This window comes from Homo sapiens, chromosome 18 (genome assembly GCF_000001405.40).
Source record: "Homo sapiens chromosome 18, GRCh38.p14 Primary Assembly".
In the NCBI taxonomy this organism is placed as follows: domain Eukaryota; kingdom Metazoa; phylum Chordata; class Mammalia; order Primates; family Hominidae; genus Homo; species Homo sapiens.
Window position 1 is genome coordinate 62,474,690 of NC_000018.10, and position 21,676 is coordinate 62,496,365.

Sequence of the window (21,676 nt, forward strand, 5' to 3'; positions counted from 1 at the left end):
CTACTTGGTGCTCTGCCCCACTGTGGCCAAGCTGGTTTGTACCTAGGGTGCAAGACAAAATCCCCTTTAATTTTCCCTCTGCTTTTCTCAAGCAGAAGGAGTCTTTCACCATAGCATCACAGTTTGTAATGTCCTGGGACTCACCTGAAGCCAGCACATCTTAGAGCCCAATGCCCACAGCGTACAATCTGGGCATTGCCACTCGTTATTCAGGGCCCAAGGGCTCTTTAGTCAGCAGGTAATCTTCCATTACTGGGTTCTTTCTTTCAAGGCAGCAGGTTCCCTTCTGGCCCAGGGTATGTCTAGAAGTGCCATCTGGGAGCGAAGGCCTGGGAAGGGGGCCTCACAACTCTGCCCACTGCCCAATTTTTTTTTTTTTTTTGAGACAGTCTCACTCTGTCACCCAGGCTGGAGTGCAGTGGCATGATCTTAGCTCACTGCAACCTCCACCTCCCAGGTTCAAGCGATTCTCCTGCTTCAGCTTCCTGAGTAGCTGGGACACAGGTATGAGCCACCACACCCGGCTAATTTTTTGTATTTTTAGTAAAGATGGGGTTTCACCATGTTGGCCAGGCTGGTCTCAAACTCCTGAGCTCAAGTGATCCACTCACCTTGGCCTCCCAAAGTGCTGGGATTACAGGTGTGAGCCACCATGCCCAGCCCCAGTGCCCTATTCTATTGTGGCTAAGCTGGTATCCAAGATGCAAGACAAAGTCCTTTTTACTCTTTGCTCTCCTCTCCTCAAGCAGAAGGAAGGAGTCACTTTCTTTGCTGCAAGCTGTGCTGCATGGGGTTGGGGAAGGGGTGGCACAAGCACTGCTTTAGCCATTCCAGCTGGTGTCTCACTAGGTCACATGCCACCCTAGTTCACTGGCTCTAACCCCCACCCAGCACTAGGACTGTCCTAGGAATTGCAGTCCTTGTGTCCTAGACTGCCTTTCAAGTTTACCCCAGAGCACATTAGTCTGCAGTGGTGAGGCTTGCCAAGAAACTCAAGTTCCAACTGCTGGGATGGACAATTCCCCTCTGGCTAAGGTGTCAATGCTCTGTCCATGGGCAGGTGCTGGCTGAACCAGCATGGCTTTGCTGTCTGCTGTGACAGGAAAGCATGGAGTTCAATGCCAAGTCTCCTAGTCCCTGTGCTCTCACTCCCCAAAATGTGCAGATTCTCTCTCCAAGAGATCTAGGCAAGAGATGCTAGGGCAAGAGGGAGGGGTGATGTAGATGATTCAAGATTGTTTTCCCTACCCTCTTCAGTGCCTCTTTCAGTAATAAAATGGCAAAACCAGGTACTGTGATTTCTGACCTGATTTTTGATTCTTATAATGGTGCTTTTTTTGTGTGTAGTTAGTTGTTAAAATTTGGTATTCCTGCAAGGAGGGTGATCGGTGGAGGCTTCTATTCAGCCACATTGCTCCATCAACTCTTTTTTTCCAAATGCCATCACATTCACAGTTCTGGGAGATATGATTTGGACATACCCTTTTGGGAGCCACAGTTCAACCCACTATATTATCTTTAAGAAAACTGCCTTCCATTCCTAGTTTGCTAAGAGGTTTTAAATAAATGGGAGCTGCATCTTATCAAATTTTTCTCTCCATTTATCAGTCATCCATCATATGATTTTTTCTTCTTTATTCTGTTGATGTGCTGAATTATATAATTGGTTTTCAAATGTCAAGTCAATATTGCGTTCCTAGAATAAGCCCAACTTGGTTATGATGTATTATCCTTTCTATGTGGGATTTAATTCCCTATTTTTAAAGGATTTTTGCATTTATGTTTTTGAGAAAGATTAATCTGTAATATTCTTTTTTTATGCTGCCTTTGTTGGTATCAAGATTATGCTGTCTTCATAAAATAAGTTGGGAAATGCTTCCTCTTTTTTCCATTTTTAGGAATAATTTGTGTAAGAGTGATATTATTTTTTCTTAGATATATGGAAGACTTCACCAGTGGGGCCATCCCCACTAGGATTTCTAGTAGTGGAATCCTAGAGTTTTCTTTGAATGAAAGTCATAAATTCAGTTTCCTTAATAGATATTCAATTTAGATGAAATTCGTTTCTCACAGTTCTGGAGACTGGGAAGTCCAATATCAGGGTGTCAATAGGTCGCATGTCTGGAGAGGGCTGTTCTCTGCTTCCAAGGTAGTGCCTTGTTGCTGCAGCCTCTGGAGGGGAGGAATGCTGTGTCCTCACATGGCTGAAGAGCAGAAGGGAATGAACCACTCTCTGAAGGACCCTTTTATAAGGGTCCTATTTCATCTTGCATCAGTTTTCATAAGTTATATTTATATGGAAATTTGCTCATTTAATCTAAATGTTCAAATTTATTGGTACAGAGGTATCGATGACATCCTTGTTATTACCTTTTTCAAATCTTAGATCTTTAGCAATGTCCTTTTACAGTCCTGATATTAGCAGCTTGTGCCTCTTTTTCTCTTTTTCAGTCTTGCTAAGGATTTATTTGATTATTAGTCTTACCAAAGAACCAACTTTTGGCTTCATTGTCTCTCTCTATTTTACATTTTTGTGCTTTATTAATTAATTCATCAATGATCTTTAGTTTTTTTCCTTCTACTGTCTTAGGATTTAATTTGCTCTTCTTTTTGAACTTCTTAAGTTGGTTAGTTAGGTTAGCAAATTTTCATCCTTTCTTCCTCTCTAGTATATTTAGGGCTATAATTTTTTTCTAAGCACATCTTTAACTACATCTCATAAGTTTTGATTTGCCACGTATTTGTTTTCTTTCAATTCCATTTTTTTTTTTTTTGCTTCTGCTGTGGTCTGAATGTGTCCCCCCAAAATTCATATGTTGAAACAATCACCAAAGTGATAGAATTAAAAGGTGAGGCCTTGAAGATGTGATTCAATCATGAGGAGCCATAAAGAATGGGGTTAGGACCCTTATAGAAGGGCTTGAGAAAGTGGGTTCATTCCCTTCTGCTCTTCAGTCATGTGAGGACACAGCATTCCTTCCCTCCAGAGGCTGCAGCAGCAAGGCACTATCTTGGAAGCAGAGGGCAGCCCTCTCCAGACATGCAACCTATTGACACCTTCATCTTGGACTTCCCAGCCTCCAGAACTGTGAGAAATGAATTTCTATTGTTTATAAATAATCCAGTGTATGGTATTTTGTTATAGCAGCACAAACAAAAACATCTTCCATTAAGATTCTTTTTTCCTTCTATAATTCTCAAAAATTTTATCTGTACTGGAGAATAAATTTCTAGGAGTGTAGGTAAAATAGGCTTGACCACAAGTCGATAATTTTTTAAGCTGTGATAGTGGGAATATGGAAATCTGGAGTAAACATATTTCATGGCAAGATGCTCTGGTCTCATTCTCTATCAAAACCCACTTATGCCTAGTGTTCCATTATTGGAACACAAACCTGTGGGAGTTATTTATATCCTACTGCTCAGTTATCACCAAGGTCTGATTGCAAAAATTCAAAACATTGCATCCTGAGGCATAAGTAGGTTAACTTGAACCAAAGTAAGTTTTTCTGCTAAGTATTCTCTTTGAGGATATTATTAGCTGATTAAGCTTATTAGCCTGGCTTATAATTTGTTCTGTATGTAAATCTTAGTTTTGAATTTTTCCTGACTAAAAACAATCAGAGTAAACATTTTAGTTAAAATAAATCAAACTGAAATTAGTTTCTTTGACAATAAATTTTGTTTAATCTCAGAAAGCTTCGCTTAAGAAGTAGAAGTAGGATGTTTTCCCAGAGATAATACAAAGATAAGTAAGGTTGTCTTATATCTTAAATCACATTTCTCTATACAAGATGATTATTTTTCAAATGCTAAATAAACAGACAAAAGTAATATAGGTAATTTGGACATACTAAATTCAGCATTTAATTTTAGAAAAAGTTTATTGTTACAAAAAGTTTTTGCTTTTAAAAGTTTTTTAAGATTTTGCTTTTTTGGAAGAATTTATTAAGTTTGATGCTTAGTGAAATAGTTTTAGTGCCCAAGTTATTGAAGTTAATCAACATAGCATATCAAAGATTGTAGTTAATCAATATAGCACATCAATACTTGAAGTTCATCAACATAGTATATCAAAGATCTACTAGGTGCTATAGAAATAAGTATCTCAGTTACTATTTTTCAAATGTATTTTTATGGAAAATATCAAACATATTAAACAACAGAAATAGCAATATAAAATCCCTCCACATTCATCACTCAGCTCCAACAATTTTGAGCACATGTCCAGTCTTGTTTTATCTCTACTGTCCCACTGTCTCCAGTGGATTATTTGGTATCAAATCCCGGATGCCATATTATTTCATCCATAAACACTTTGCTATGTAACTCCAAAATATAAGGACTTATGTTTAAAAGTTAACCAAAATACCATTATCACAGCTAAAAACTTAACTTTTTAAGATAATCAAATATCCAGTCATTGTTAAAATGTCCTCACCTGCCCCATAATGATTTAAATTGAGATAAAAACTAAGGTGTATATATTGCATTTGGTTGTTGTATCTCTTAAATTGCTTTTAGTCTATGAGTTGCACCATTCCTCCCCATGCCCACCCATTTTCCTTTCCTTGCCATTTATTTGCTGGAGGAACTGAGCTGTCTGTCCTGTAGCATTTCTGATACTCCAGAATTTGCTGATTGTATCCTTGTGGTTCATTTAATATGCTCCGTTGTTCCTTTATATGATGCAATAGGAAATACACAATGCACAACCCCACTTGTGAAGCATTCTTGTCAAAAATTTAAATCAAATAGGCGCTTAAATAGATTTGATTTAAACATTTGATAACAATGCTTCACAAGTGGGATTGTGCATTGTATATTTCTATTGCATCATAGGAAGAAGAAAATGTCTGAGATCTGTAAGTCTGTGACCTTTAGTCACTGAGGTTTCCTAGAGGCCCACCTAATGAAACTCCAGTCTCAGGTTTGTAAGTCTCATCTTTATGACACTTTCTTTTGAGTTTCTATGGGCTCCTTGGCCACCCCTCACACATTCTTACATTAGATGCCTTCACCTTGGTGTCTGGCTAGAAATATTGCAGAAGACATAACGCAAAGCTAGATAACACTTCTCATTTCCTCTTTTAGATTACAAAATATTTCAAATATAAAAGAAAGTATGAGAGAGTGATATCAGCAAAAATGGGAGAGTAGGGAATTCCAAGGGCCCATCCCTCCACAGAAACATCAAATAAACAAGCAAAAACTGTCACAATCAACATTGTCAGAAGTCTGGAAAATTGTCAACAGCATTAGTCTATAGTGCTGGTCTCCAAAAACCAAGTGAATGTTGAATGAAGGAAAAGATGACTTAAACATGGTAGAATAGCTTTGTGGTGTTTTAACTTAGCTTTGTCCTACTCCTCTCCCTTTCCTAGCATGCTGGCAGTTTTAAGATGCAACCCATATTCCTGATGGGGGTGCCTAGTTCCAGAGGGAGCAGAGCAGACCTAGTTCCTAAAGAATTGTGTTTGTCTGGGGATCCCTTGAAGGACTGACACAGGGTGTTTGCTTTGGTTTTATCTAACTTAGAACTCTTTCAGTGCAGAAAAGTTGCTAAGCAGAGGGGTTCCTTGAAAACACCAATAGGCAAATGAATGAGCTGTTGCTGCCTTGGGTAAAAGACTACAGTTGGGTCAAACAATAAACATGCTACAACCTAGGAGAAAAAGCCAGGGAAAGAGTTACTTTGGGGAATAGGGATTTGGTAATCTCCTGCATATAACAGGAAATCTAGAAAGTCATGTGCATGCCCAGGGCAGGGTGCATACCCAGAAAAGACCTGAAAAGCCCCTTAGCTCTCACCTCTGGCTGACTTTTAGGCTCAGTGTGAGCAGGAAGTGAAGGCTAAGGCAGAGCTGTAAATGGCCTGGCTAAGTGTGGAAGGAGTATCCCTAACACAGACCCAATCTGCAAAGACCAGGAGACTATTATTTTTTTTTCTTTTAAGAAAATCTCTGTGAAACCACTAGCTGACCAAAAGCTAAAGAAACAACAGAATTAAGAGGCCATCCACAGCAAACAATAACAACAAACCTTGAGGAAGGTGAAGAATCTTATATCCACTTACCACATTTAAATATATAACATGCCCAGTTTCTAACCAAAAAATCACGTGGTGCACAAAGATACAAGAAAGTATGGCCAATTTGCAGGAAAAAAAGCCAAATGAACAGAAAGTATCCCTGAGGAAGCACAGACATTGTCTTACTAGGCAAAGCTTTAAATCAACTGCCTTAAATATCCTCAAATAGATAAAGGCAATCATTGACAAAAAAATTAAAAGAAACCAGACAAATAATGCCACAAAAATATCAATAAAGAAATTGAATTATATAAAGGAAGCAAATAGGAATTCTGGAGCTGAAAAATACAATAACTGAAATGAAAATTTTACTAGAGCTTCAACAGCAGATTTATGCAGGCAGAAGAAAGAATCAGTAAACTTGATGAGCTCATTGAAATTATCTAGTTTGAGGAACAGAAAGAAAAAAAATGAAGACATGTGAATAGAGCATAAAGAACTGTGGAATAATTTGCAGTATTCTAACATATGCATTATGAAAGTCCCAGAGAAAGAAAGGGATGGAAAGAATATTTGAAGAAAGAGTAGCCTCACATTTCCCAAATTTGATTTTAAAGAAGCTCAAAGAACTCCAGACACATAATCAAACCATCAAAAGACAAAGATGAAGAAAATCTTGAAAGCAGGAAGAAAAAAAATCTTAAAAGCAGGAACAGAGAAGAGAGACATTCCTAGATAAACAAAAAAGCTGAGGGAGTTTTCTGCCTATAGACCTGAAAAAGTCCTTCAAACTATAATGAAAATAATTCTAGTACCTAGACAGTATCTCAAAGCTATATGAAAAATAAAGAGCAATAATAATAAAAAGAAAGAACAATGGTAAAGATAACTATGTAGGTATTATATTAGTATATGATCGTATTTTTGATTTGTTATGCTTCATTATTTTTGTTTAAGGGTAGACACACAGACCAATAAAATAGAATGAATAGTACAAACCTATACATCTGTGGTCAACTGATTTTTGACTAGGATGCCAAGACCACATGGTAGGAAAAGAATAGTCTTTTCAACAAATGGTGCAGGGACAACTGGATATTCACATGCAAAATACTATTAATAAAATTGGATTCTACTTCACACCATAGATAAAAATTACTTAACATCGATCAGAAATCTAAATGTAAGAGCTAAAACTATAACACTCTTGGAAGAAAACATAGAGGTAAATCTTCATGACCTCACATTTGTCCATGAATTCTTAGAAATGACACCAAAGCCACAAACAACAATTAGACTTCATCAAAATTTAAAACTTCTGTGCTCTAAAGAATTATATCAAGAGAGTGAAAATACAATTCATAGAATAAGAGAAAGTATTTGTAAATTATATGCCTGAAAGGGTCTAGCATCCAGCACAACCTAACAACTAAAAGACAACTCAATTTAAAAATGGGCAAAAGACTTCAATAGACATTTCTCCAAAGAAAATACACAAATTACCAACAAGCACATGAAAAGATACTCAATATCATTAGTCATTATGGAAATGCAAATCAAAACCACAATGAGATAACACTTCATGCCCACTAGAATGGCTATTTTTAAAAATGGAAAATATTTAGGCATTGATAGCACCCATCAGATGGCCAAATTATTATTTACTGGACCAGGCCTTTTCAAAATTATCAAGCAGATAGTCAGGGCCCGTAAAGTGTGCCAAAGAAATAATCCCCTGTACTGCAGGCCATACATTTCAATCCCTGTATCTTTAACCTCCTTGTTAAGTTTGTCTCTTCCAGAATCAAAGCTGTAAAACTACAAATCATTCTTCAAATGGAGCCCCAGATGCAGTCCATGACTAAGATCTACCACAGACCCCTGGACCAGCCTGCTAGCCCATGCTCCAATGTTAATGACAGCGAAGGCAACCCTCCCAAGGAAATCTCAACTGCACAACCCCTACTATGCCCCAGTTCAGCAGGAAGCAGTTAGGGCGGTCATCAGCCAACCTCCCCAACAGCACTTGGGTTTTCCTGTTCAGAGGGGGTACTGAGAGACAGGACTAGCTGGATTTCCTAGGCTGACTAAGAATCCCTAAACCTAGCTGGGAAGGTGACTGCATTCACCTTTAAACACGGGGCTTGCAACTTAGCTCACACCTGACCAATCAGAGAGCTCACTAAAATGCTAATTAGGCAAAAACAGGAGGTAAAGAAATAGCCAATCATCTATTGCCTGAGAGCACAGTGGGAGGGACAAGGATCAGGATATAAACCCAGGCATTCGAGCCGGCAACGGCAACCCCCTTTGGGTCCCCTCCCTTTGTATGGGAGCTCTGTTTTCACTCTATTAAATCTTTCAACTGCAAAAAATAAAAATAAAAAAATTAAAAAAAAGGAAAATAACAATATTGGTGAGGATGTGGAGAAATTGGAACCCTTCTACAATGCTGGTGGAAAGGAACAAAAACTAGTGCAGCCCTGTGGAAAACAGTTTGGCAGTTCCTCAAAAAGATAAACTTAGAATTACCATATGATCCAGCCAGTCCACTCCTAGGTATATAAGTAAAACAATTGAAAACAGGTATTCGAACAAATATTTATACACAAATGTTCATTGCAGTACTATTTACAGTAGTTGAAAACAATTGGAGGTTCCTCAAAAGCTAAACATAGAATTACAATCTGACTTCTAGTTATAGACTTAAAATAATTGAAAACATGGACTCAAACAGAAATGTGTGTGCCATTGTTCCTTACAGCACTATTCACCGTAGCCAAAAGGTAGAAAAAACACAAGTGTCCATGAACACGTGAAATAATCAACAAAATGTGGTATCCATACAATGGAATATTATTCAGCCATTAAAAGAGTTATGGTTGCACAAATCTATGAATGTAATAGAAACATTTGTATGCCTAAAAACCTTATACTCAGGACCAAAATTGAAGTTCATTCACTAACCCCTGAATGACCAGTATACAGCTTACTTTGACTATTAACTCTGGGAGAGTGCTAATGAAAAAAAATGGTGTATAGGGAGGGTACATTCTCACAAGAAGTAGACTCAAGGTGCTGAAGTTCTGGGCAAATTTCTAGCATCAGCCATGGATTTGATGTGAGGCTGGGGTCTCCTGGAATAGCTCTGGTTGCTCCTGAAGGGAAGGTTCATGAGCTTTGCTTAAAGCCATTCTAATTTGCTTTCAAACCTGTTTGATTTCAGCTAGGAAAGTGTTGCAGTTAGCAATCCTGATTGTGACAATTATAAGCCCAAATATAGCATTTACTCTGCTGTAGAGATACAGTGGTAGTGTTGAGACTAGCTCAGGGCAACACTGCATCATAAGGACGGTGAGAGATTTAATACCTATAAGGCTGTTCTCTTCTCACTCTCAACTGTTCCTTCCATGTTTTAAATTAAATATTTCCCCCTTTTCTATTCTTCCCTTCCTTCCATTCCACAGCTTCTCTCCTTGGCGCTGTTTCCCATCCACCAGCTCAAGATCATTCCAGTGTATCTGATGAGATCTCAGACTTTCAGAAAAGCGATTCTTGGAATGCCATCTGGCTAACCATTAGATATGTCCAGACGGACACTTTGCGGATTGTCTTCAGGAAGGAAGAAAAATAGAAGGGAGTCTCAGAACTATTTATACAATTATCCTGCAGGCTTTGGCCTGGAAAACAAGAAACTAGGACTTTCAGGTTTTTGATTGCATTTCTTCTTTCCTGTATTTCATAAAGTTTAAATTATAACCATCTGTTTCAGAAGATATAAAAATCCTGATTCCATCTTCTTCCACGTTAACAGAATACTAACCCTGTAGGGAACCTTATATCAACGGAGGCACTCAATGATAACTATAGTAAAATCACAGGGAAAAACAAGCACCAAGCTGCAGTTCATTGCCTGTCCTGCCTACCTCATTGGCCTCCTGCACCTGCTGATAAAAGGGGCATCTCTCTCTAGAAGGCATCTCATCAGGCAGATGTTTCCCTGTGTAGCTGTATTGACACTGACACTATGTTTTCTGCTTATTTGATGATGGTGTTGAGAAGGAAGAGGATGGCAATGATGATGAAACCTCTTTTTCTTCCAACTCTCATTAGACCATTATTCTTTTGCTCATCTTTAATTCTCAAAATATCCCCAAATCATTCCTGGTGAATTCATAGGCATTTCACACTTTGTGATTAATTTAATTTGCTTGCAGCCTTACCGCCTATAGGACAGCGTGGGTGTGAAAAACACCACTCTAAAATTCACCATCTGCAATGAGTCTTACCCTATTCCCCACTCCGTCACTTCTCCCCTCTCGATTCTGTATGTAATCCTCTGTATCTTTCCAATAAGCTGGAGGCAAGACATGACATTATGGCCACATAAAATCGCCTTTTCTTATGGTCCAGGGACGCTTTGTGCTGTTTTTGGTTAATGTGTTAGACTCCAATCTTCTCTCTCAATAGGCTTTCTGTCTTCTCTAGGAAACAGTTTATTTTTCTTTTCTTGCCGTTAATAAACCTTTATTGAGCACCAACACAGCAACACAGTTGAGCCCCAAACCAGCAAAGCACTGTGCTGGATACTGGAGATATGGAAGTAAACAAAACCCGGTTTTTATCCTACAGCAACCAAAACCTAAAGGAGAACAAATCATGCAAAGAAATACCTAAAATACAATGAAACAAGAGTTCACAAGTGAAGAGTTCGGTAGTGTGGAGGAGGAATGATTCACAAACTATAGCATCTTTATTTTTTTCTTCTCTCACATGACTTTCTAATATTTGATGGTGAATTTCTTCTTATTTTACTATTTCATATTTCTTTAAAATCTCTCTGTTTTTAAGGCATGTGTTTTTCATTTTTTATAACACTCTACCTACCTTTGGGGGTCTCGCAGATAAATATAACCTTTATTCTGTCTGTTGGATCTGTGTGGGATATAGAAATCAGGTAAAAAGAAAGATTTGCAGTGGGTAGAAACGCAGCCTCTTGCTGGCTTACAAAACCGTGCAGGTGCCGCCAAGCGCTGGGATAAAATATGCAGTTGAGTCACACACCATGGTCGTGGCAGATATGCTGCAGGCTCTTAGGAGGAAGAGACAACAAAATGAGTCAGAATGAATGAGAGGAAAACCTCCCCCTCCAGCCAGAAAGAGAAAGCCTGGGAGGCTAGACAAGTTTTATTAACACGTCTTTCAAGAGAATAGCAGAGGCACGCTCTGACATTACTCAATGTCGGCCTCACTGTCAAGGTGAAGCATGTTTAAGAAAACATGCTTTTGAAAACAAGTGGGATCCACTCAAAACATCGTTCCCTCCTATTAGGACACTAAGCCCATCAGGGGGCTAACACAAATGTCTTAGAACAAAAAGCAAACATTTTAAAGAGGTTTGCTGAGGGCTGGGAGATGGAGAGGAGCGAGGAAATAGAGAAGTATATTACCTGAGAAAGATCAGAGAACATAAAATCTCTTTTTATCTTGAAAAAGGAATCATGTGTTTGTATAAGAGGAGTAATTAACTGCTTATTAATGAACTGAATGAAAGGAATATTAGAATTTTCTGGAAAATATTTAAGGCCTTGGCTGAACTAACAAAATGACCCACCCCTGGGGGGTCACCCCTTGACTGAACTAACAAGAGGACCCACCCACCATACCTGAGGGGGGTGCACCTTGAGAAGGACTCCTTGCACTGACTGGGTATTTCAGGTGAACTAGCGACTCACCTCTGGGAAAAGAGCCAAGAAGCTTAACTGCCTTTTTAAAGATAGTGTCAGAGGCAAAGGTGAGTCAACACAGCAAGCTCTCTGTCCCTTGGGGCCAACGTGCATAATGCTATTGTAGTAACTGAAGTGAAAACCCAGGCTGTCATTCCACCACTTTTGAGGCCAAGGCAAGAGGACTGCTTGAGGTCAGGAGTTTGAGATCAGCCTGGGCAACATAGTGAGAGCTTGTCTCTAAAATAAGGAAAAATTCAAAAATTAGCTGGACACGGTGGTGCATGCCTGTAGTCCCACCTACTAGGAAGGCTGAGATGGGAGGATCCCCTAAGCCCAGGAGGCTGCAGTGAGCCATAATGGCACCACTGCATTCCATCCTGGATGGCAGAGCAAAACCCTATCTTAAAGAAACAAACAAACCAAAGATTATGCTGTGTCTCACACTTTTGCTCCCAAAGATACTCTTTGTTCCCCGGGAAATTAGTGATTCTGTGAATCAATGGTAATATTTTCACTTTTTGTCTTTTATAAATTCATTTATTAATTTTATAGATATTCTCTGTGTTAAAAACAATTTTAGTTGCTAGGGGTATAGCAGTGAACTAACCAGAATGATATCATCATGGAACTTACTGTCTAGTGAATGAATTGTGACTTCTCAAACTACTTTGGTATAAAATACAAGGATATATCTTTTGTCTCTTGATTATGTGTTCTGAAATTCTCTTCTTGAATCTTTAGCAGTAAGCTTGTTATTGGCAAAGATAATATTTTGATACTATGTTAAGTACATGCCAAGGACTTAACCTTTATGCCCAGGTAATTTGTAAACATTTTTTTTTTTGAGACAGCGTCTTGCTTTGCTGCCCAGGCTGGAATGCAGTGGCACTCGCATGGTTCCTGACCTCTTGGGCTCAAGTGATCCTCCTGCGTGGCTGGGACCGAAGGCCACACCTGGCTAATTTTTGTAATTTTTGTAGAGACTAAGTCTCACTATGTTGCCCAGGCTGGTCTCGAACTCCTGGCCTCAAGCAATCCTCCCACCTCAGCCTCCCAAAGTACTGGGATTACAGGTGTGAGCCACCACACTTGCCCATAACTTTAAGAAAGAAGAAAACTGAAGTCTTAATGGGAAATGAAGTTTTTAATTTTCTTTCAAATTATACCCAAAGCAAGTGTAACTGTGACTCAATATTTGATATATACTTTAGGAGGGGCAATGCATTTTTATAATGTGATAATTTTTTAAGTTGTTAAAACAGCATCCAAACTAATATTATACAGCAAGTTGTGGCCATAGGCCAGGAGGTCCTGGACACAAATCTATCAGAGCAGAGTGTGCTTTGCCTCAGAGCTGCCAAACACAAGGAAAGGATAGACGGCAACCGCTACACCACACAAATTTATCCACACATTTAACATCCATGCATTTATCCATGCACTAAGCCTTGCATTGGGCACTGAGGCCATGAAGAGGCAAATGAATTGGTCCACAAATTCAAAAATCTCACAGCTAAGCAGAGAAGCAGCTTGGTGGGTAGATAAATGCCTGGGCTAGAGCTGTAATGAAAAGGTGGACCTAGGGCAAAATGAGCACCATGCAGGGCTGGTTAGCTCTGTCTGAAGGAGGGTGGGACGCAGGTACACCAGTGTTGGAGCTGATCTGCCAGGCAGAGGAGGGGAAATGTATATTCAAGACAATAGGTGCAGAGGCCATCTGACGTGGGGAGTAGGCCTGAGAAAGACTCTATATTCATTTACCAGGGCTGCCATAACAACATAGCACAGGTTGGCTTAAACAGCACACTTGTTTTCCCACAGTTCTGGAGGCTGGAAGTCCACAATCACGGTGCTGGCAGGGTGGTTTCCCTTGAAGCCTCTCTCCTTGGCTCCCAGCTGGCTTCCCTCTTGCAGCCTCTGCCCATGGTCCTTCCTCTGCACGGGCATCCCTAGTGCCTCTCTTGGTGTCCTAATCTGTTTTCCTTATAAGGACACCAGTCAAATTGGACTTGTGCCTGCCCTAATGGCCTCATTTTAATTTAGTCAACTCTTTAAAAGCCCTACCTCCGACCACAGTCACATTCTGGGTATTATTGAAGGCTAGAGCTTCAAGATATAAATTTAGGGGGAACATAATTCAGCCCCTAACAGATTCTAAAGCAGTAGTTCTCAAAGTGTGATGCTATGGGCCCCTGGGGGTCTCCAAGGCTCTTTCAGAGGGTCTGCAAAGTCAAGATTATGATCATAAAAATACTAAGATGTTATTTGCCTTTTTCACTGTGTTGCCATTTGTAATGATGTTTCGATAGCAATGGGGGATACAACTACAGCTGCCTTAGCATGAATCAGGACAGTGGTGTCCGATGGTTACCATTAGTCATGGTATTCTTCACTGGCATCCACGATGGGTTTTGTCCTAAGCAAGTTTTACATTAAAATGTCCTTGATAAAGCAATATAAGCTTTTTTTTTTTTTTTTTTTTTTGAGGCGGAGTCTTGGTCTGCTGCCCAGGCTGGAGTGCAGTGGCGTGATCTCAGCTCACTACAACCTCTGCCTCCTGGGTTCGAGCAATTTTCCTGTCTCAGCTTCCCGAGTACCTAGGATTACAGGCATGCACCACCACACCTGGCTAATTTTTGTATTTTTAGTAGAGACAGGGTTTTGCTATGTTGGTCAGGCTGGTCTCAAACTCCTGACCTCAGGTGATCCGCCCACCTTGGCCTCCCAAAGTGCTGGGATTACAGGCATGAGCCACCGCACCCAGCGGAACTATTAATTTTATTAAGTCTTGACCTTTAAGCACATGTCCTTGAGTGTTCTGTGTGATTAAACAGAAATTATACATAAAGCACTTCAGCTGGGTATCCAACTACCACGGTTAATCTCAAGGAAAAGCACTTGTAGTTTGACTTGCAAGGTGAACTAACTGCTTTCTATATGGAACGCTCCTTTTACTTGAAAGAATGGCAACTAGGGTTATTCAGACTTGGCTGTTTGGTAGACATTTTCTGGAAATGAGCCAAGTAAGTTTGTCACTCTAAGGAAAAACAACTGATAGATTTGCTTCTTTTGAGATTTTAAGCAAAAATTAGATTTTTGCAAGTCTTGTATCAGGCATCATGAGTTTGAGAGCTTCGCAATACTTAAAGATTTTGCAGGTGAGATCAGTGGTGATGTGAATGGATGTAGTTTTGATATTGTATAATAAAATGAGTCAATATTTAGACGATCCCCACAACTCAGTGAACGAATATTTTCCAAACAGTCCATGCATGATGTTATAAAATAATGCATGAACATGGATAAAAGATCCTTTCAAATTGCAAAATATACGGATTAATGTAACTAATTGGGGAAATTTCACTCATACAGTTTTATAGATTCCACATTGCAACTAAACTTAAGAAACTGCTACTAGTCTACTTTTGGTGAGGTTTCAAATAATATTCACAACTATAAGAAAGGCTGTGACAATTCTCCCCTCTTTTCCAAACTCATATCTGTACAAGGTCAGATTTTTTTTCACGTAATTAAATTAAAACTCAGCTACTCGGGAGGCTGAGGTAGGAGAATTGCTTGAAGCTGGGAGGCAGAGGTTGCAGTTGAGCCAAGATCGCACCACTGCACTCCAGCCTGAGCGACAGAGTGAGACTCTGTCTCCAAAAAAAAAAAAAAAAACAAAAAAAAACTCCACAAAAAACGTATTATAACAGATCGAACACAGAAGATATGAGAATCCAGCTGTCAAATAGATGCTAAGCTTCATATTAAAGAGACCTATAAAAATATAAAATAATGCCAGTTTTCTCACCAAATGTGTTTTGTTTTGGAAAGCAGAACAACAAATGAAAACGCTATTTTTCATAAAAATATGTAATTTACGTTAACATACATAAATGGATGAGTCTTTTATTCATGTTCATGCATGATTTAGTATTGCTTTGAAATGATTTAATCAACATTTTCAAAAATTTTTGATAGGGTAACTACACAGCTATAATTCACACAAACCAAACCTCTTTGGAGTTCCAATAATAATTTTTAAGAGTATAGAGAGGTCCTGAGTTCAAAAAGTATGAGAACTACTGCTGTAAAGATACAATTTCCACTGATAAGGCACACTACGGCATGTGGAGAAATAACAGCAAATGATTAACTGAAATTACAAGAAATTTTAATTCACTAAAGGCATCTGCCAGACTGCCACCAGGACACGGCTGCCTACTGCAATGGACCCCCATCACTGGGGACCTTGGTGCATGGACCTGTTCAGAGGCATCCACACAGCTTTACAACAGCAGCACGGCATATAGATTCTAAAGACATTGCATAACCTGGGAACAATATAAACAACATACATTTACATTATACATTACAATATGCATTTCTGGCCTCAAAAGGACAGGAAAAAGTGACCCGGAATGTGGGCTTCAGATGGGCAGGAGAGGTGGTGTGTTTTGGTCACAAATGTTCCCTCATGCCTATGACAATGCCTGACTCATAATTGGTTCTCAATAGACTTTTATTGTGTAGAAAAATGAATGTCATGCTAACTTTTATACATTATGTGATGGTTAATATTAGGTGTCAACTTGAGTGGACTGAGGAATGCCTAGATGGCTAGTATTGTTTCTGGGTGTGTCTGTGAGGGTGTTGCCAGAGGAGATTGACATTATGGTGGGTGGGCTAGGAGAGGAGGGCCCACCCTCAATGAGGGTGGATGCCATCCAATCAGTGGCCAGCACAGCTAGAACAAAGCACGGGGAGGAAGGGAGGATACGTTTGCTTGCTGCATCTTCTGGCTCTCTCTTTCTTCCTGTACCAGACCCTTGCTTCCACTCCTCCTGCCCTTGGACATCAGACTCCAGGTTCTTCTGCCTTTGGATTCTGGTACTTGCACTAGTGGCATCCCAGGGTATCTCGGGCCTTCAGCCACAGACTGAAGGCTGCACTGTTGGCTTCCCTGGTTCTGAAACTTTCAAACTTGGACTCCACTACCAGTTTCTCTCTTTCCCCAGCTTGCAGATGGCCTGTTGTGGGACTTTGCCTTGTAATCATGTGAGCCATTTCTCCCTAATAAACTCCCTCTGGAGAACCCTGACTAGTACACATTATAATTAACAATCAGCCATCAGGTATTCATTGGACAGCTCTTCCTAGTAATAAAAATTGGGCTAGAAACTATAAAACCATATGGCCAAATCATAAAATATGATATATGTTATCAAGGTGTTTATTGTAAGTTGGGAACAGAGACAATTACACAGGGAGAATCACCATGAGCTGGAGTGACCAAGGAGCTGTGATTTGAGCTAGGATGAGAAAGGGAAGCAAAGACAGATCTGAAAATCTACATACTGAGGAGAAATGGGAGATACTTTTGATTAGAAAGAACTGGATGAAACAATGAAAGACCTTAAAAATTAGGTCATTGACCTGAAAATAATTTCAAAATCAAAGCTGGAAGAGAACTTAAAAAAACGATTCAGTCTCATCTCATATTTTAGAGATGAGGAAGCTGAGGCCTGGGAAGCAGGTGACTTGCCTCAGGGAACAGGTCAGTTTGCAGTACACCCTTGATTCGCAAGAAAGACAACCTTCCATTTGTTCTGACCTCACAGTGTGCAGATCTAACTGAGACCTGTTGCAATAAGCAGTTGAAGACATGATGGTCCCTGGGCCAAAAGGGTGACATTCACTCCACATCCGCTAATTGTGGAGGGAATGAGCACAGCATTATTTCAGGAACATTCTCCTGTAGCAGGAATGCTGGCAGATCTTTGAGCTTCCAAGACAGAATATCTATAATCCAAAATCAAAGTCCTCGACTCTGGAGGTAGCAGTGAGATTGGAGATGAAGAATTAAATCTGAAATACAGGAATTAGTGACAGTTTGCAAACTGAAATAAAGGATCCAAAATGCTCAGAGGTGACCTCCAAGGCATTCAGATTCCCAGAAGGGAGACCTGACAACACGCATTTGAAGGTAGTGATGGGAAAACAGCCAAACCGTTTTCTGATCTCACTTTTCTTTTTCTTTCTTTCCTTCTTTCTTTTTCTTTCTTTGAGTCAGGGTCTCACTCTGTCACCCAAGCTGGAGTGCAGTGGCCTGATCACGGCTCATTGCAGGCTTGATCTCCCCAGGTCCCGCCTAAGCCTCCCAAGTAGGTGGGACTGCAGGCCTGTGCCACCACCCCGGCTATGATTGCACCTTTCTAACAACAGCTTATAATTCTTTCATTTATTTATTTATTTTTTGAGCTGATGATCTGTTTAATCTCAAGTTGGCAACATTACCCCCACCTCATACCCCAGCACCTGGATCACACTCTTCCAACAGAATACAGGGAAAACATGTGAGAAACAAGAAGGTAAATGGATGAAGGCGAATAGCGTCAGGAATCACACAAGGTGTTGTAGAAGCGGGTAGTGGTGATGTTTGACGGACAGTGTTTTGTGTCATCTGTGCCCCAGCTTCCTGTTCTTTTGTATGAAGAGTCAAGCACCATTCACACACTCTCCGTATTCACTAGGCACTTGTCTGTGGGTATCGTTGTGTTCCCGGTGTCCAGAGCAGGGAGTAGGGCATTGCGACCTCAGGGCACACCCCGTCACCCAAGGTGGGGCATTCGAGGCATTTATTAGCTGTGGTGAGAATGTGCCAGAGACTCAGAGATCCTGGCCCTTCCAGGAACAGCAGAAGAGCCTCCTCCTACATCGACCCCCATGGATACCTCCATGCAGCACGCCCTGGGGACAGCATGTTTGTAGGTGCCCACCCACTGGGTGCATGGCTGTCCTCTGTCCCCACCAGCACTGGGAGTTCCTTCTTTGGCCAGCCTGCTGCTCTCGGAAGTGATTCGGTCTCTCCACCCCCACCCCATCTGCTTATAATGCTTAGTAAATTTAAAAACAAAAATATATTCATTTTAACTGCGTTTGCCTCCATTTTTGCCTTTCTCCTTAATTGCAGTGTGTTCTTTCACCTGCAGCAACATCGAAGTCACTACAAATGGCCATAGGACAGTTATACAGTAGTCCACACTTATCTGTGGTTTCACTTTCTGAGGTTGCCGTTATCCCCAGTCAACCGCAATCTGAAAATATTACATGGAATGATCTGGAGACAAACACCTCATGAGTTTTAAATTGTGCACCATTCTGAGTAGCATGATGAAATCTCATCCTACTCCGTCCTGCCCAGGATGTGATGTGAATTGCTCCTGCCAGTGTATCTGCACTATCTTCGCTACCTGCCGGTTAGCTGGCTAGTCATCAACACCACTGTCTGTTCCTGCCTGAATGTCATGACTGGACACCACCTATATTGTCATGGCTGCATGATCCAGGATCACCCAATGCAGATGATCCTCCTGAAGTGTCGTCGGCAGGTCGATGGTAGCCTAACCCTAGGTCACAAAGCCTGTGCCATTCACCTCAATTCATCTCATCACATAGGCATTTTCTCATCTCCCATCATTCCAAAAAGAAGCGTGAGGACTGTACAGTAAAATACTTACAGAGAGAGAGAAACCATATTCACATAACCTTTATTACAGTGTGTTGTTATAATTGTTCTATTATTGGTTATTGTTAATCTCATTGTGCCTAATTTGTAAATTAAACTTTTATCATAGGTATGTAGGCATAGGAAAAAACATATCTAGGATTTGATACTAGCTATGGTTTCAGGCATCCACTGGGGGTCTTGGAATGTGTCCCCCAAGGATAAGGGGGGACTACTGTACATCAGTAAGATGAAGAATTAAGATAAATACTCAGTTAATTTCAAGGAGAACACATCACATGTTTATAAAGGTTATTTATATTTTATTTTATTTTTATTTATTCATTTTTGAGACAGGGTCTCACTCTGTTGTCCAGGCTGGAGTGCAGTGGCGTAAATGCCACTCACTGCAGCCTTGACCCCCAGGGTCAAGAAATCCTCCTACCTCAGCCCCCCATGTAGCTGGGATCACAGGTGCGTGCCACCATGCCCAGTTAAGTTTTGGAGTTTTTGTAGAGACGGGGTCTCACTTTATTGCCCATGCTGGTCTCAAACTCCTGGGCTCAAGTGATCCTCCTCCCTTGGCCTCTTAAATCGCTGATAGGCATGAGCCACCATGCCCAGCCTATGAAGGCTTTTGAGGAGGACAGCAGGGTGGTTCTTCTGAATGGTTGGCTTAGTTGAATTAGCATTCACTTAATTCCTCAATGCTGTTATCTGCTTTAGAGATAACAACATCAAAGGTGATGTTTAAGCAAAAACAAAAACTTTTAACTAACATTATGAAGGCAGTATTGTACAATAGTCAACTAATAAAAAGGGCACCCTAGAATAACAATAATACTTTTCTGGCAAATTGCACTTTTCATTCTGACGCTGACAGTATGCACTACAGATAATTGCTTTGGATTTGCAACTTTTATAAACCTTATTTTTGGATACAAATAATTCTGTGGAATGTTGAGAGTTTAGCAGGACTACTGGAGATTAGGAAGGCTGTGTGGTAAAGAAATTGTTTTAATCTATGACGTCACTCTGCTGCCATGCATACGAAGCATATAAAAGTCTTGGACTCATTTCCATCTCTTTCTCTCAGTACAAGATTCAGTCTAGATTGTACCCATGGTTTCATGCTTATATATGGTATCTTGGTAAGCACATGGTATCTACCTTGTCATATAAACTAAGAGAAGTTTGATCTAAAACTGCACTGTCTGATACAGTAGCCACTAGCCACATATGGCTATTCAAGTTTAAATTTAAATTAATTAAAAGTAAATAAAATGTAGAAACCAGCTCCTCATTCTCACCAGCCACATTTCAACTGCTCAATAGCCTAATGTGGCTAGTGGCTACCGTACCAGACAGTGCAGATATAGAATATTTCTATCGTTAGAGAAAGCGCTGTTGACCGGTGGTTATCTAGAACACAATGCGGAGTTCTCATTTTTAAACTGTATGGCCATATAAACATCATACTTGATTTTTAAAGAATGTTAATCATTTGAAAAATTAATTACATGACAAAATGAGTTTTAGTTTTGGAATTCTGTTTCCAAACTCATGTTTTTGAAGTAATTAGCATGAACACAGCGAAAGCATTTATTTGCATAGCAGCTGTCTTCCAAGTTGCTTATTTTACTCTGCCAACATTAATTTATTCATTCAAAAAATATTTATTGAGTGCCTGCTGTGTGCCAACCACTCTTCTGGGATCTAGAACAAAAGAAACAAAAATCCCTGGCTGTGGGGAGCTCATGTTGTACCCAGTGGGGTGAGAGGCAAATATTTCAGTTTGTAAGGCCAGGGAACAGCATGAGGATATTCCAATTCCTAGGTTATTGCTCACTAAGAAGTCACAGAACGAGGCCAATATTAAGAACATAATTTCCAATTTTTAAAGACATTCTCAGGCCAGACACACTTGTAATCCCAACACTTTGAGAGGTCGAGGTGGGAAGATTGTATAAGACCAGGAGTTCAAGACCAGCCTGGGCAACATAGCAAAACCCCCATCTCTATAAAAAATAAAAAAGTTAGCCAGGCATGGTGGCAGCTATAGTTCCATCTACTCGGAAGGCTGAGGTGGGAGGATCACTTGAGCCCAGGAGGAGGCTCAAGGCTACAGTGAACTAAGAACATGCTGCTGCACTCCAGCCTGGGATTCAGAGCAAGACCCTGTCTCAAAAAATTAAAATAAAATAGACATCTTCATCAACAACAGAAAAGCCTTGCAAATAATTACCCTATCTGCCAGACAAACTGCGTGAGGATCTGTGGCACATTTTCCAGTGTCACCTTCTTCCTTCATGGATCATAGCATTTACAGTTGGAAGTGGCTTTAAACTCCACTCTTCCAACTTTCCTCCACAATATCCAACCAAGTAACCATCTGGCCTCTGGCTGAGC

At 40.2% G+C, this 21,676-nt stretch overlaps 1 annotated feature.

Annotated features, from left to right (window-relative positions):
- Positions 19,358-19,527: an enhancer, noted in NCBI's record as "experimental_49001 CRE fragment used in MPRA reporter constructs". NCBI's record gives its function as "activates a minimal promoter by MPRAs in K562 erythroleukemia cells, with activity observed for both the introgressed and non-introgressed 18:60161365 variant alleles {active_cell/tissue: K562}" and the evidence as "EXISTENCE:reporter gene assay evidence [ECO:0000049][PMID:34662402]".